This window comes from Homo sapiens, chromosome 13 (genome assembly GCF_000001405.40).
Source record: "Homo sapiens chromosome 13, GRCh38.p14 Primary Assembly".
Classification (NCBI taxonomy): Eukaryota; Metazoa; Chordata; class Mammalia; order Primates; family Hominidae; genus Homo; species Homo sapiens.
Window position 1 is genome coordinate 20,582,606 of NC_000013.11, and position 16,036 is coordinate 20,598,641.

Below are 16,036 nucleotides of genomic sequence, written 5' to 3' on the forward strand. Positions count from 1 at the left end.
AGATGTAAATCTCCAATTCCAAGCCACCAGGAAAAAAGAAACAGAAGAAAGGCCACATCCTTGTATACTTGATGTTTCAACCCGGCACTGTGATACCACTCATTAAAACTGTAGCCAATAAGATGTCCATAAAATTGACTAACATGACCGGTACTCCTCATTCTGGGAGAGGAAGGAGGTTTGCTATTCTGGGTAGTGTGAAGTGGGGAGATTTGAGGTAGGAGTCCTAGATGTCAACAGTTGGCAATAGATGAGTTATAGAGGCTCTTGAGTACCAAACAGCAGTTTAAACTTATTTTTTCCCCCAATTCTTACTCTGTGTTGAATGTTAAATTTGCGTTTTCATTTTAGGAATTGGAGAATGATGCAGCTTTTCAGCAAGCTGTGAGGACTAGTCATGGCAGAAGACCTCCAGTAAGTGAAAAAAATTTTTTTTAAATTGTGGTAAAAAATACATAACATGAAATTTACCAGATTAACCATTTTCACCTGTATATTCCTGTAGTGTTAAAGATTATAACCATCATTAAGTTTAGATGGTAGTGAAACAGATCTTCAGAAGTTTTTCATCTTGTATATATGAAAGTCTGTATCCATTAAACAAAAACTTCCCATTTTCTCCTACTTCCAAAGCTCCTGTAACTACCATTCTACTTTCTATTTCTATGAATTTGACTAATTTAGATACCTTACATAAGTGGAGTCTCAGAGTATTTGTCTTTTTGTGACTGGCTTATTCACTTAGTATAATGTCCTCAAGGTTCATCCATGTTGTAGCATGTGACAGAATCTCCTTCCTTTTTAAGTTTGAATAGTATTCCATTGTATGTTTATACCACATTTTGTTTATTCATTCATCTGTCAATGAACACTTGTTCATTTTTGTTATTCAGTTGTAGGAGTTCTCTATATATTCTGGATATTAATGTCTTATCAGATGTCTGATTTGCAAATATTTTCTTTCATTTTGTAGATTGCTTTTCACACTGATGTGTCCTTTGATACACCAAAGTTTTTTAGTTTGATGTAGTCCCAATTGTCCATCTTTACTTGTGTTGCTTGTGCTTTTGGTGTCATATTCAAGAAATAATTGCCAAGAACAATGTCATGAAGCTTTTCCCCTATGTTTTCTTCTAGCATTTTTTGTAGTTTTAGGTCTTACCTTTAGATGTTTAATCCATTTTGTGTTCATTTTTATATATGGTATAAGATAAAGGTCCAAATTCATTATTTTGCACATGGATATTTAGTTCTCCCAACACTATTTGCTGTACAGACCGTCCCTTCCCTGTTGAATGGTCTTGGTACCATTGTTGAAGATCATTTAACCATATATGTAAGGGTTTGTTTCTGGGCTTTCTATGCTGTTCTATTGGTCTATTTGTCTGCCTTTATGCCAGTAACCACACTGTTTTGATTAGTGTAGCTTTATAATATGTTTTAAAATCAGGAAATGTGAACCTTCCAACTTTGTTCTTTTTCACAGTTGTTTTAGCTACTTGGGGTCCCTTGATATTCCATATGAATTTTAGGATGAATCTCTATTTCTGTAAAAAAAAAAAATGTCATTTGGATAGTAAGGATTTGATAAGGATTGTATTGAATACACTGGGTGGTATGGACATCTTAACAATATTAAGTCTTTCAGTCTATGAACCTATGAACACAGGATGCCTTTCCATTTGTTTATGTCTTCTTTAATTCATCAATGTTTTGTAGTTTTCAGTGTATCTAGTAAGTGAATTTTAAAGTATTTGAGATCAAATGATTTCTTATGTTATTCAAACTAAATATTTTTATTAGGCATCAGAATATTGTTTACCTAAAAATTCATTGTTTTAAAAATATTTGCTTTTCTAATTTTTAAAGTGGCATAAATATTGATCCCTCAAAACATTGGGGCTTAATTTACAGATTACCCTTCCTTGTATTAATATTAATTAATACTCAATTAATTTTCTACGAGTACATGAATTGCTAGAGTAGTTTTTTTCAGTATTAGTATTAAGGTTTTTGTATGTGTCATACAAAGCATAGACATCTGCCTTTCACAGTGCATGAAATCTGCCAAGCTTTGTTTGTAGTTGAAAATAAACAAGGTTGACACTCAGTAGTGAAGTAGAGAAAGTTCTATCCCTAATGTTCTATGTCTAATATTCCTTTTTGGAATGCTGCTTCTCCCTACCTATCTAATACTATACAGCAGTGGCTCTCAGCGGGGGGCACTTGTGCCCCCCCACCAGGGACATTGAGCAATGCTTGGAGAGATATTTTCAGTTGTCACAACTTGAGTGGGTGCTACTGGCACCTAGTGGGTAGCAGCCAGAGATGCTGCTAACCATTCTACAATGCATAGGGCAGCCCCCGGTAATAAAGAGCTATCCAGCCGAAACTCCTTTGCTTTAGATGAAGTGTCCTTCTGCTGTTATCTTCCCTCACTTTGTCATGTTCTCCCGTCCTCCCTGTCCTACGTACTTATCTAGCAAAAATAAATCATTGTGAGTAGCTTGCCCATCTCATTTGGGGTAAATGCATTTAGTGTGGTTCCTTGCAATGAGTTTGGCTAAATCACTGCACAGGTAGAGGACACAGTCAGTCCTCCACAAGACCACTCCCACTTCTGACACCAACTGCAAGTTCATGGTTCCCAGAACCATCCTCAGGCTTGATAATTCTCTGGAAAGACTCAAAGAACTCACTGAAATCTCCTATACTTACAGTTTAATCATGGGAAAGATACAAATTAAAATCCACCAAGGGAAGAGATGCATAGAGCAGGGCCTAGGAGTGGTCCAAACAGAGAGCTTCTGATTGTCCTCTCCCTGTGGAGCAAGACATGGCAGTACCTTTTCCTAACCACAGTGTGACAGTACTTGAAGAGTATTGCCAACCAGGGAATCCTACTCTAGACTTTGGCATTCAGAGTTTTTACTGAGGCTTGATCACATACCACCCACCAGGCCAACCTTTAGTCTCTAGTCCCGGAGGTTCAGGCTAGTAACTCCAGAAGCTGATGTGTCCCAAAGCTCCCATTGTGAATCACATTGATAGACTGACCAGTGGCCAAAGCCAGGGCAAACAAAGACACTCCCGTCAGGCAGAGCATTTCAGGGGTGTAGAAATCATTTCCTAGGAGCCAACAACAGAGGCCAGACCTCTCTTTGAGTAAAGTTAATTCTTCACTACACATTCTAAAACCCATATTTTATTTATTTGTTTAATTCTTTTACAACCCATATTTTAATTTTGAAGTTACCTTCATTACGGGAAGAAAAACCATAGGCTCTGAGTCCTTGCACTAGGCTAGTGATTAGACTGTAAGCTTTTCAAAGAGGCAGATTATCTTATTCATCATTCTTTTGCTTGTCTACTTAAGTGTTCCATACATCTTTATTGACTAACTTAGTAAATCAGTGAACTTTGTCTTTAATTAAGTGATTTCAGGGATCACGTAACAGGTGATAATTTTGCCAGGTGGGCCTTCAAAAGATCTTTAGAAATGACTTTGGAGATTCTTATTTTATAGATGAGGAAACTGAAGCCTAGAAAAGCCAAGGTCTCACAGTTATCTGTAACTGGGATAGTGTGTGGGTCATTTGATCCTCTGTTGAATGATATTTTCATCACATCCTACTTGTTATATTACATGGGAAAAAGTTTTATACTTGTCATATGAAACATCTTACAGGTTCACTTAAGAGGACAAAATTCTAGGTTGCTCCTAAGGAGCTTACAGTCTTCAGAAGGCAAATTAAATGGACACACTTAGATATTACAAGGCATGAAGTAATAAATTATAATAAAAGAGTATAAATTGCTGTGGAATTTAAAAGAGAGGTTATTTACCACTAGTTGGGAAAGTCAGAAGAGATTGCTTAGAAGATAAATTAAGAGTTGATTATTACGGGATATGTAGAATTGAGATTGACCTTGAGATCAGGAGAAAAGGGCATTGCAGATAAGGGTACAAGATGAATGAGGGAAGAGAGTGTAGGAGCTGCCCAATGCTAACAACAAAACACAAAAATGAGATTTAGTCATTAGGCAGTAGTTAAAAAAATAATGGTCTTCCCCTCAGTTGGTTCTCATGGAAGAAGTTGCAGAGACCCATATCCTTCCTTTTCAGTTTTTTCTTAAGACCTGGAGCCAATCTTATCAAGCATGAGTTTAAGCCCTGAAACATGTATACAAATTAAAATACCTTCCAATGTCTAAAGTTCACCTAACAACTTTATATGTTATCACCTACAATTCAGACATTTGTTTTCCTACAGAATTAACATATATGTATGTTTTTTCCCATTTTTTTTAACCTCTAATTACATTTTCCTTATGATTTAGTTCAAAATATTTTCTAATTTCCATGGGTATTTCTTCTTTGACCTGTGGGTTATTTAGAAGTATATTTAATTTCCAAACAATACATTTTTCTAGTTATCTCTGTGTTACTGATTTCTAGTTTTATTCTTAGATAGGGAACATAATCTGTATGCTTTCAATTTTTTGAAATCTGTTAATGTCCCAAATGCATTCTTGAAGAATATATATGTTCCACGATGGGTACAGTGTAATATGTCAATTAGGTAAAGTGTGTTAATGGTTTTGTTTAGATGTTCAATATTTTTACTGATATTTTGTTTGCCTACTGCTTTTTTTTTTTCTTTCTTTCTGAGACCAAGTCTCACTCTTTTGCCCAGGCTGGAGTACAGTGGCATGACCTTGGCTCACTGCAACGTCCACCTCCTGGGTTCAAGCAATTCTCGGGCCTCAGCCTCCTGAGTAGCTGAGACTACAGGCGTGAGCCACCACACCTGGCTAATTTTTGTATTTTTAGTAAAGACGGAGTTTCACCATGTTAGTCAGGCTGGTCTTGAATTCCTGACCTCAGGTGATCCACCCACCTCAGTGTCCCAAAGTGCTGGGATTACAAGCATGAGCCACTGCGTCTGGCCTACTGGTTCTATTTTTAATGAGAAAGCGTGATCAATTCTTGTACTCTCGTTGTGGGTTTGTATTTTTTTTAGGTTTTTGCTTTATATATATGGAGCAAAGATATTTAGAATTGCTATATTTTCATAGTAAACTGAGCCTTATATTGTTATGAAGTATGCCTCTATCTCTAGTAATGCTTTTTGTCTGTTTGTAAGATATTAATATGTTGTTATAGCTATACAAGCTCTTTGTCTAGCATTTTTATTGTATGTCTTTCCTGTCTTTTTACTTCCAACTTTTCCGTATCAATTTATTTAAAATGTAATTCTTATTAGCAGCGTGTGATTGGTTTTTATTTTTTTAATAGTCTAACAATCTTATTATTTTAGTTAAGTATTTATTCCACTTACATTTAATGAAGTTACTGATTTCCTTTAAATTTGCTATCTTACTATTTGCTTTTTTTTTTTTTTCCTGGCTCTTGTATATTTCATTTTCTCTCCTTACTTGCCTTCTTTTTTGCTTGTTTTTTATTATTCCATTTTCTTTTTCTGTTATCTTGGTAGTTTACGTTCTCTGACTATTCTTTTAGTGTTTCCCTAAATATTATGATACTCATCTCTAACTTTTTAAAGTCTAGTATAAATTAACAGTTTTACTACTGCCTGGACAGTGCCAGGATTTTATATTATTTTTAGCTATTTTTCAGTTCTAGAATTTCCATGTATATTCCTTTTTTATAGTTTTTAGTTCATTTTCCGTTGCTATTACTAATCTTTTAATTTATTGATCATGTTAAGCATAGTTATGTTAAAGTCTATGTGTGATATTTGCATTATATGTACCCACTTCTGAGTTTCTTTCTATTCTTTTGTTTATCTTGGCTTTTGGTTAGGTAGTCTTGCCTCTTGTATGTCTGGTTGGTTTTAATTGAGAGACATTATAAATGAAAAATTTTAGAGATACTTTATGGCTCTATGTCTGCACTACTCAGTATGAGAGACACTAGCCACATGAAACTATTTACATTTACATTATTTAAAACTAAAATAAATAAATTCTTGTTGTACTACTTACATTTCATATGTTTAACAGCCTTGTGTGGCCAATGGCTGTCTTATCAGAAAGGGCAGATATAGAACTTTTACATCACTACAGAAAGTTTATTGGATAGCACAGTGCTAGAGGATCTTATCTTTCACTGGAGAGAATTTACTTTTACTTATGGTACTAGCAGCAGTAGGAATCCATGGTCACCTTAATCCAGTCGGGTTTGAGATGATTCTGAATTGGATGTCAGCCCTTATGAGGGCTAGTATACTATTATTTACCTTTTAGTCTTAGGGTGTAGCCTTTTGAGATCACAATCTGAAGCCTGGAGGATTACCGGGGCTGCGTTCTTGGCAGGCCCTCATCACCAGTGTTTATCCCTTCAGGCTGTGAGTCTCAAAAGCTGTGTCCAGTGTCTCAGACTTGTCTTTGGAATTAACAGATGCCTCTAGGAGGAAAGCAGGCCTAAATGTGGGCTCACCTCTCTAGCCTTCCCATCTCTTCGTTATTTTCAGACCTTGTAATTCTTCACTGTCTTGTTGGGTCTCTAATGTATTCACACTTAAAAAAAAATATTTTGACCCCATGTATATTTTTTAATAGTTCTTAATGAGAAGGTTTTTAAAAACAGTCCATCATAGCTGAAAGTAGAATTCCTCTGTGAGTGATATTTAATAAATATTTCTAACAGTTCTGCCTAACAACTAACATTTTTAGTATACTTTCATCGATGTGCTCCTATTTGATTCTAACTACAATTTTGTGATCCGTATACTTTGTATTCTTATTTAAAAGATGAGAAAACTGTAGGTTCAAAGAGATTAAATAAAGGTATCTGTTATAGGGATAGCTGAGATTCAAACCCAAGTTCTCAGACCCCAAATCTTGTGTCTATTGTTTGGCCTAGTGGCTAGCAGTAATAATTATGCAATAAAATGTTTAATTCGTGATGGTTGCAAGCATGAAAACAAATCTTTCTTATCGGCACCTCAGATCGTTCAAAAGTCCCCTTTCTCCTTTAAAATGAATTCCAGAATGAGTCTCCTTCTCACATAATTAAAATACCTGAGCTCCCTAATATTTAAGATAATTTAAAAGAAATCATTCTAAGTATTATATAAATATTTCTTTATTTATGAGTCTATATTTTCTATTTCTTTTCCAGTTTTCTATTATATAGCTCAGTCTGAATCCTGTTAACTATGTTCTTTTTCCTCCCCAAGATAACTGCTAAAATATCAAGCACGGCAGTTACTAGACCTATAGCTACTGGATATGGGGTAGGTTTTTGTAAGCTGAAAATATTAAGATGCTTTTTCTCATACAATAGTTCACTTTAGGCAGTTCTGAATAATTTTATTATATCTTAGGTCATAATCCAAATATATTTTCTATTTTGGATACTTACAAACATTATACAAGTCTAGTGTGATTAATAAATTTGAATATTGTCATTTTGATTTGTAAGTATTGGAAAATATTTTATTAACCTTTTTCCATTTGTAAACCCTGTGTTCGTTGACGTCCTTTCATTTTCTACATGATACAACCAAGTCTCGTGTATTCCATTCATATATTTTATGTGAAGTTAGATTTTACATAAATGTAATAGTGTATATAATTGGGAAACATTTACTAATTAACAAATATAAAATGTAAGAAAAGTGTTTCAGAAGTGTGTATTTGGGTCTTATATTAGAAGCCTTTGGAGGAAAGATATATCAAACTCTATAAAAGTTATAAACTTTTTAATCTTGTTCAAATTACCTGTAATTTGGATGTTTTAGCTTATATGAAATAACAGGAATGAGAAAAATGGAAGAATTAGGTGGAATAGCTTTTCTTAGTCAAAAAAATATCTTCAGAACCTAGAGGTCCAGGGCACTTGCCTTTATAATGTTCCTTTATATGAGTGAAGAAAGTAGCCTTGTACATAATATAAACGTGTGTCATATTAAACATGCTTTTATTAGTTAGCCTGAGTGTGTATTACTCATAAATTTGATTTTTGGTGGTGTTTCAGAAAAAGAGCAAACTTTTTCCATGAAGGGCTAGATATTTTAGGCTTTGCAGATCATATGTTCTCTGTTGCTACTATCCAACTCTGCATTTGTAAAGCAAAAGCAGCCACAGGCAATGTGCAAAGGAATGGGGCATGGCTATGTTCCAGTAAAACTTTATTTACAAAGACCATGGGTTGTAGTTTGCTGCTCCCTGTTTTATAGTTTTATGGTTTTACCCTATACGCCCAGGAGGTACAAGGAATAAATTATGTTTGTTTATTTGCCGATAGAATGAAGAAAACTTCTATAACTTGGTTTAAACATTTAAGGCAGATATTTTTAGGAATCTTTTTAACTTAACTTTTCTGTTTACTAGTCCAAGACATCTCTGGCATCATCAATAGGAAGACCAATGACAGGGGCTATTCAGGTATCTCTATTGGATGCATGTTCATTTTGTGCCTTTCTTGTGACTTGGAATTTACTACCAAAGTTTTTTTACTTTATTATATTATTTTAAAATGTTAAAGAAGATATTACTTATATAGTGACCCAGATTCTTTAAATTGTGGGCTAAAGTCTACACTGTTGTAAATCTTTGAAGGCGAAGTCTCTTTAGATTTATTTACTCAGGTATCAAATGAATTCCCATTGGGGTGTGGACATAGAACTGATAATTGCTTATATGATGTATTCTGGGGCCCATTTTTCCTGTTACCATTTACAACAATTTCTGTGGTTTCTCTCATAGGCATGTAAGAGACCAACCAAAAGTAAGAGAGTAGCTGGCTAATAAGCTGATTAATTTTTTTTAAAACTATAGCCCAATTACATCAAAGAATTGAAATTGTAAAGGTGAGAGAGGACATGATTGATACATGAGGAGGTAGAAGTAAGGAGTAAACGTATAGTGATTGAAAATCAGCATTTTTTTAAATAGGGCTATATTAAGGTGTGTGTAATGTGCAGAACTGTACATAGGAGATAGATCTTATTTAAGAATAAATGATTCCCATTCTCTTTAAAGGATGGAGTTACTAGACCCATGACAGCAGTGAGAGCAGCTGGTTTTACCAAAGCAGCTTTGAGAGGTTTGTTACACTGTCTCTACTAATAATCTTTTTTGGATCTTTTAATCTTTTATCATTTTGTGATATAAATATTACTGTCATTTTAAATAAAATCTAACAATGCCATTGATTATAAGATGCACTGATATTTTAGGTACCATTAAGAAAGGAAAAGGATGATGAAAACCTTCTACATATCTGTTGGGGTGGTAATTAAACCATGGTGTAATTTGTCAAAATGCATTGAAATAATATGTAAAAAGTTAAATGATAATTTAAAAATAAAATTATAACAAAAATTAATGTTTGGTATGCCAATAAGGAAAATTAAAAAGCCAATAGCAGGTTATAAGACATGTGACTGATAATTTAGAGTTGATAATAGAGATAGATCACTGTGGAAGAGAAAGTAAATGCTGAGAATATCTTATTTTTGTTTTTAAGTTTAACACACGTATTATTTACATAGCTTTATGTGTGTTAAAAATCTTACCAATTTCCCAGTATATGAAATGTTTATGTAGACACAATGTTATCTCCATTTAATAAATAGATAATTGAAACCATTTAATAAAGAGGTAAATGAAATAGCTTATGCGAGGTTTTATATTTTCATATATTCTTCGATTTTGCTGAGTTACAAATTGAATATTAACTCTTGAATTGTGTCTCAGGCTCTGCATTTGACCCCCTTAGTCAGTCAAGGGGCCCTGCTTCCCCTTTGGAAGCCAAGAAAAAAGATAGGTATGTAAGTCCTTATGTTGTTGTTTGTTGTTGTTGCTGCATATTTTAAATTTTTATTTTCCAAATACACAATTTTTTTTTTTGAGATGATATCTCACTCTGTTGCCCAGGCTGGAGTGCAGTGATGCGATCTTGGCTCACTGCAACCTTCATCTCCCAGGTTCAAGCGATTCTTCTGTCTTAGCCTCCTGAGTAGCTGGGATTACAGGTGCCTGCGACTACATCCAGATAATTTTTGTATTTTTGGTAGAGATGGGGTTTTGCCATGCTGGCTAGGCTGGTCTCGAACTCCCAATCTCAAATGATCTGCCGACCTCAGCCTCCCAAAGTGTTGGCATTACAGGCGTGAGCCACCACACCAGCTCACATAATTACATAATTATGTGACTTCCATAAGAATTACATAATTATGTGAATTCCATAAGAATTACATAATTCTTAATCTTTAAAAAGTTTGTGTCAGCAGAGTAGTAAACAAAAAATCATCCCTAGTTGCCAGAACTAACAAAATTAAGAATAGCCATATGTATTCTGTGCAATTTTATTGTGATATTATATGACTTGAAGATATGGTCTAATTTTTTATCAGGGCCAGTATTGAGTCTCCTGACAGCCAAATGGGGTTGTAAATGTTGTAAGATATGATTATCTTGAGAGGACATTTCAAGGGAAAAAATTAAGAGAACACATATGAAATTAATGTGTCATATTATTGAGAAATTTAATTTTTTATAGAACAAACTTAATTTAGTGCTAGTGGCTAGACAGTAGCCAAAAAGCTATGGTATACATTTAATTATATACATCTGCTGGTATCCAAGTACCTTGATGTATACATTTTACAAATAGTAATAAAAGCTAACATTAACTGAGTCCTTGCTGTGTGCCAGGCACTTTTCCAAGTACTTTCCCTATGAAAACAGAGCTATTATTCTCACTAGTTTATAAAGAGGGGAGCTGAAGCCCAGCTATCTTAACTTTCTAAGGCTAGTAAATGACAAGGCTTAGATTCAAACCCAGTTTTTCTAGTTCCAGAGCTTGGGCTCTGGAACTAGAACTGGAATTAGTCACTATACTGTTTTGCTTCTATAGAATATATGTTTTTAAATTGTAATTCTTTTTTTTTGTTTCTTTTTTTTATTTAAATTGTAATTCTTAAACCCAGTATTTAGGCTTTCGTGTAAATTACATAATTTCCATTTTTGACTAGCAAGGAACCTCTATAGAAAATCATGTTATTTTTTATCTTAATTAATGACAGCACATTAGCTAATAAAAGCATTTTTTATTTAAATATTATGTCATTCATGGTCCTTTTGGCTGCTAATAACAGAAAACATGTTTAAAAAAAAGTAAGGACACAGGCCGGGCGTGGTGGCTCATGCCTATAATCTCAGCCTTTTGGGAGGCCAAGGTGAGAGGATCACTTGAGCCCAGGAGTTCAAGACTAGCCTGGGCAACATAGCGAGACCCCGTCTCTACAAAAAAATTAAAAAATTAGCTGGGTATGGTGGCACACACCTGTAGCTCCAGCTACTCAGAAGGCTGAGGTGGGAGGATGGCTTGAGCCCAGGAGGTGGTAGCTGCAGTGAGCTGTAATCATACCACTGCACCACAGCCTGGGTGACAGAGCGAGACCCTGTCTCAAAGAAAGACTTAAAAAAAAAAAAAAGACATATACATAATTAACAAGAAAATTTATTATCTCACATAATAGGAAGTCTGGAGGAAGGGAAGTTCTGGGGATGGTTAATTTAACTGCTCAGTAACATCATCCCTGGTCCAGCTTCTCTTTGTTTCCCTTGGCTTTCCCCAAGCGCCTGCCGATCATTATGATGCCAAGAGAGTGTTGAGAGTTCAAAATCTCCATGTAACTGATATAGTCTAGAGGCAGAATGTTCCTAGTCTTAGGTCTCTTAAAAAGCCAAGAAGATCTTTCTAGCAGCCCTGTACCTGAAGCAGATATGCCTTCATTTCTCAGTGTGGAATGCATCAAATGCTCGTGGCTGAACCAAACACTTGGCAAAGAGAATGAGATTCTCTTGACTTGCTTAGATTCTGCATGCAAAGAAGAAGGGCGGGTGGCAGGCTCTGTGTGGGTAGGTAGCCAACAGTGCCTGAATATAGATTGCATTTTTTTTGCATTTGATAGGGACAGGGTAAGTTACTTTCAGTGTCTTCATAAAGTTCTCTTACAGATTTTTAAGTTTAAAATTCTATGTTGATATTTTGAATTTAATAATAAAATCTGTAAGCAACATTTAAGACATACATTCAAGTGTTTCAGACAACTAGAAAATAGAATTCTATACTTCATGTAACCTTCATAAAACTACCATCTATTATGCTTACTGCTCAGTTAGAATTTTACAGATCTTTATAAACTAATAAACTTTGTAGTCTTAGTCCCAGGTTTCCTCAAAGAATATAATTTTATAGAAAAAGTTATGCTGCTCAATTTATTTCTATATACTTTTATAAAATCCATTTGTAGAGAATTAAGAGAACTACTATCTATTCTGATATAGCAGTAGTAAAATTTTATTTAGGCATTGATGTGTATTCAGAGTATTGTTGTATTTTGCCAAAAGAAAGTGGTAGCAAAACAACATTACTGTTATTTTGAAAGGTAACTGATTTGGGAATACTTGATTTGCTATTAATAGAGCCAGGATTTTTAAACTTCTTCACCTCATTAGAAACTTTCTCTATGGCCAGGCATGGTGGTGCACGCCTATAGTGTCAACTACTCAGGAGGCTGAGGCAGAAAGATCGCTTAAGCCCAAGAGTTCAAGCCGTAGTGCATTATGATTGTGCCTGTAAATAGCCACTGCACTCTAGCCTGGGCAACATAGCAAGAACCTGTCGTTTATTTTTATTTTTTTTTATTTTTTTGAGGCAGAGTCTTGCTCTGTCACCCAGGCTGGAGTATGGAGTGCAGTGGCGCAATATCACTCACTGCAACCTCTGTCTCCCAGGTTCAAGCAATATTCTCCTGCCTCAGCCTCCCAAGTAGCTGGGATTATAGGTGCCTGCCCCAACACCTGGCTAATTTTTGTATTTTTAGTAGAGGCAGGGTTTCACCATGTTGGCCATGCTGGTCTCAAACTCCTGACCTCAAGTGATCTACCTGCCTCAGCCTCCCAAAGTGCTGGGATTACAGGCAGGAGCCACCACGCCTGGCCATGTTACCTACCTTGACTGTTGTTATTATTTTACTATTATGAATAATTACATGATGTAGTTGTTAAAAACAGTACTACATTTGCTCTTTAATACCATGTATACATTTGTCTTATCTATAACTATTCTTGAAGTTTAAATGCACATTGTTCAATGTTGAAAGTAAATTAGGCTGGGTGTTGTGGCTCACACCTGTAATCCCAGCACTTTGGGAGGCTGAGGAGGGAGGATCGCTTGAGGCCTGGAGTTTAAGACCAGCCTCCCTGGGCAAGATGAGGAGACTCTGTCACTACAAAAAACAAAAACAAAATTATTCATGTATGGTGGCATGCACCTGTAGTCCTAGCTACTTGAGAGGCTGAGGTGGGAGGAGATGACCTGAGCCCAGGAGTCAAGACTACAGGCTGCAGTGAGCTATGATTGTGCCACTGCACTCCGTCCTGGGCAACCAAGTAAGACCTTGTCTGTAAAATAAAATAAAATAAAATAAAATAAAATAAATTTTAGTATAGATTTTTAGAGGTTGAATGATTTAAATTGTACCTGCTTTTGTCTTTAATAGCCCAGAGGAAAAAATAAAGCAATTAGAGAAGGAAGTAAATGAGTTGGTAGAAGAAAGCTGTATTGCCAATAGTTGTGGAGACTTAAAATTGGTAAGTTCATAAACAAGATTCAAAATTATGAAGCATTTATAGATGTATGTCTGCTTTTATACATACACCGTATGTATAGACAAATATTTTTGTTTGCCGTTGACTGGTCTTAGGATAAGAAGCAATTATTTTGAGAACCAGGAATTGTAACTCAGTTTCATAAATTTGAATGTCAGAATAATTGGCTGGTTTTGTAATTTTTGACATTGGCCTTTTCAGTAGGGAAAAAAATTCTAATGTATTTGTATACTTAACTTGGCAGCCTGGTGGACTATTGGATTAGATAGCAATATGCTGCTGAAAGGTGTAGCTACCATGAGCCACACACAGTACTAAGGGCTGTTTTCTTCTTGAAGTCTCTCTACTATCAAATATTTTTTCCTAAGTAAACTAAAAAATTAGTTTGCTTTTTGGGAATCTAACTTGGCTTTTTAAATATCAATCTTTACTTTTAATTTGCTTTGTTCATGTTACTTTGATTGTCATATCATATAAATATAATTTCTGTGAGTTATTGGATTAATGAATACCATTAGAAAGAAATGTTCACTTTAAAAAGCTGCTTTTACTACTCATAGAACTGGGGCTTTTTTTGTCATTCTAAAAAACAAAAAGTCCCTTTCCAAGGGAAGTTTCTGGTAAGAGCACACAGGGGTGTCTTGAGGAATCTGAGGATAGAAAATGAATTCATCCAACCTTCATGTAGATATTTCTCAAATGCATAAAAGTTGATGAACACTCAAAGGAAGTTACAAGGTATAAATCTGATTTCAGGCCTTAGAAAAGGCAAAAGATGCAGGAAGAAAAGAGAGAGTCCTGGTGAGACAGCGAGAACAAGTTACAACTCCAGAAAATATCAATTTGGATTTAACTTACTCAGTAAGTATTGAAATATAACACAATTTTTAAATAAAATTTTGACTAGGGTTAATGGGTTCCAGAGTCTTTTTTCTTTTATTTTTAAAATCTTACTGGTCTTCAGGTGCTCACAATTAGATTAATAATAATCTTTAGTTCATAAAACACTCTTGTCTTTGTTTTGTGCAAAGAGCTCTTTTCTTTAGTTATTTAACTAGTTATTTTAGGCTGGGTGCAGTGACTCACGCCTGTAATCCTAACACCTTGGGAGGTCAAGGTGGGAGGATTACTGAGTGAGCTCAGAAGTTTGCGACCAGCCTGGGCAACATAGTGAGACCTCGTCTCTATTTATTAAAAAATATGTAGCCGGGTGCCGTGGCTCACGCCTGTAATCCCAGCACTTTGGGAGGCCGAGGCGGGCAGATCACAAGGTCAGGAAATCGAGACCATCCTGGCTAACATGGTGAAACCCCATCTCTACTAAAAATACAAAAAATTAGCCGGGTGTGGTGGCGGGCGCCTGTAGTCCCAGCTACTTGGGAGGCTGGAGCAGGAGAATGGCGTGAACCCGGGAGGCGGAGCTTGCGGCGAGCCAAGATCTTGCCACCACACTCCAGAGCCTGGGCGACAGAGCGAGACTCCGTCTCAAAAAAAAAATATATATATATATATTTTTTTTTTGATAACTTGGTAAGTACCTGCAAACCTACCATGCAATGGCTCTATTTCTTGAAGAGCACTAATTTTAATGCTCTATCAAGGTGGTTATTTTGATGAGATTGTAATGTAGACTTTTCGGTCAGTGATTTTCAAGAACTTTAGGCATATAAAATAATGTTCTATGAGGGTAGTGGGGAAAAAAAACTAATGCCTCTAATTTCTAGCAACATTTATTTAATTCTGAAAAGACACCTCCATAATGTTTGCACTTCTGTTTAAAAGGGTGTATTTTCAGTGGGTAAAGGTTTCATATGCTAAACACATAGGAAAAAAAGGGCGTTTGAAATTTTGAAGTGTTAGATGCTTACTGTTTATAGCTGATACTCTACGATTCCATGAAATCTTTCAGGGATAATTTATGATGATCATTTTTTACCTTTAGGAACATAATTTACTATAAATTAATTACTTAAATTGTAATTTAGTATATAGAGCTTACTATACAGATTCTTCTGATAGACTTTAAGGTTTAAGATATTTCCACGTTTAATTTATATTTAGTTCACGATCTTGCTTATTTCTTTGATCACCAGCAGCATTAATGATACACATTTATTCTTTGTAGGTCCTCCAGAGATTAATAGATGGCAAATACTACTAAATTAAATAGAATACATAGAAAATTAAGGTGAAATTTAGAGGACAGGTCTTCTTTTCTTAATGTTCATTTGTAATGCAAGATAATTCTTTTGTTTACTTAATTTCATAATTGGCTGAGTATCTTGATATAAGTAGCTAACTTTGTTATAGGATTTTAATCTCTAGAAAGATTATAGGTGAAAGGGGCCTAAAGTGGTCTTATGTGTCTTTTCTATAATATTTT

General features: G+C 35.1%; 1 protein-coding gene across 58 annotated transcripts in view; it reads left to right on the forward strand.

Moving 5' to 3' along the window:
• The window catches only part of IFT88 (intraflagellar transport 88), a 124,288-nt gene that overhangs the window by 15,449 nt on the left and 92,803 nt on the right, over positions 1 to 16,036 (forward strand). For 42 of the 58 annotated variants that reach the window (NR_134653.2, NR_148462.2, NR_148464.2 and 39 more), the window contains 7 exons: positions 352 to 414; positions 7,206 to 7,262; positions 8,362 to 8,415; positions 9,013 to 9,076; positions 9,730 to 9,799; positions 13,545 to 13,635; positions 14,410 to 14,514. Coding sequence is in view for 51 of the 58 variants with exons in the window: in XM_047430655.1 (XP_047286611.1) it covers positions 352 to 414; positions 7,206 to 7,262; positions 8,362 to 8,415; positions 9,013 to 9,076; positions 9,730 to 9,799; positions 13,545 to 13,635; positions 14,410 to 14,514 (504 nt within the window). In the remaining 7 variants the exon portion in view is untranslated. The remainder of the gene's footprint in view (positions 1 to 351; positions 415 to 7,205; positions 7,263 to 8,361; positions 8,416 to 9,012; positions 9,077 to 9,729; positions 9,800 to 13,544; positions 13,636 to 14,409; positions 14,515 to 16,036) is intronic. The other 16 variants (NR_148463.2, NR_148465.2, XM_024449413.2 and 13 more) reach the window with 2 other exon arrangements.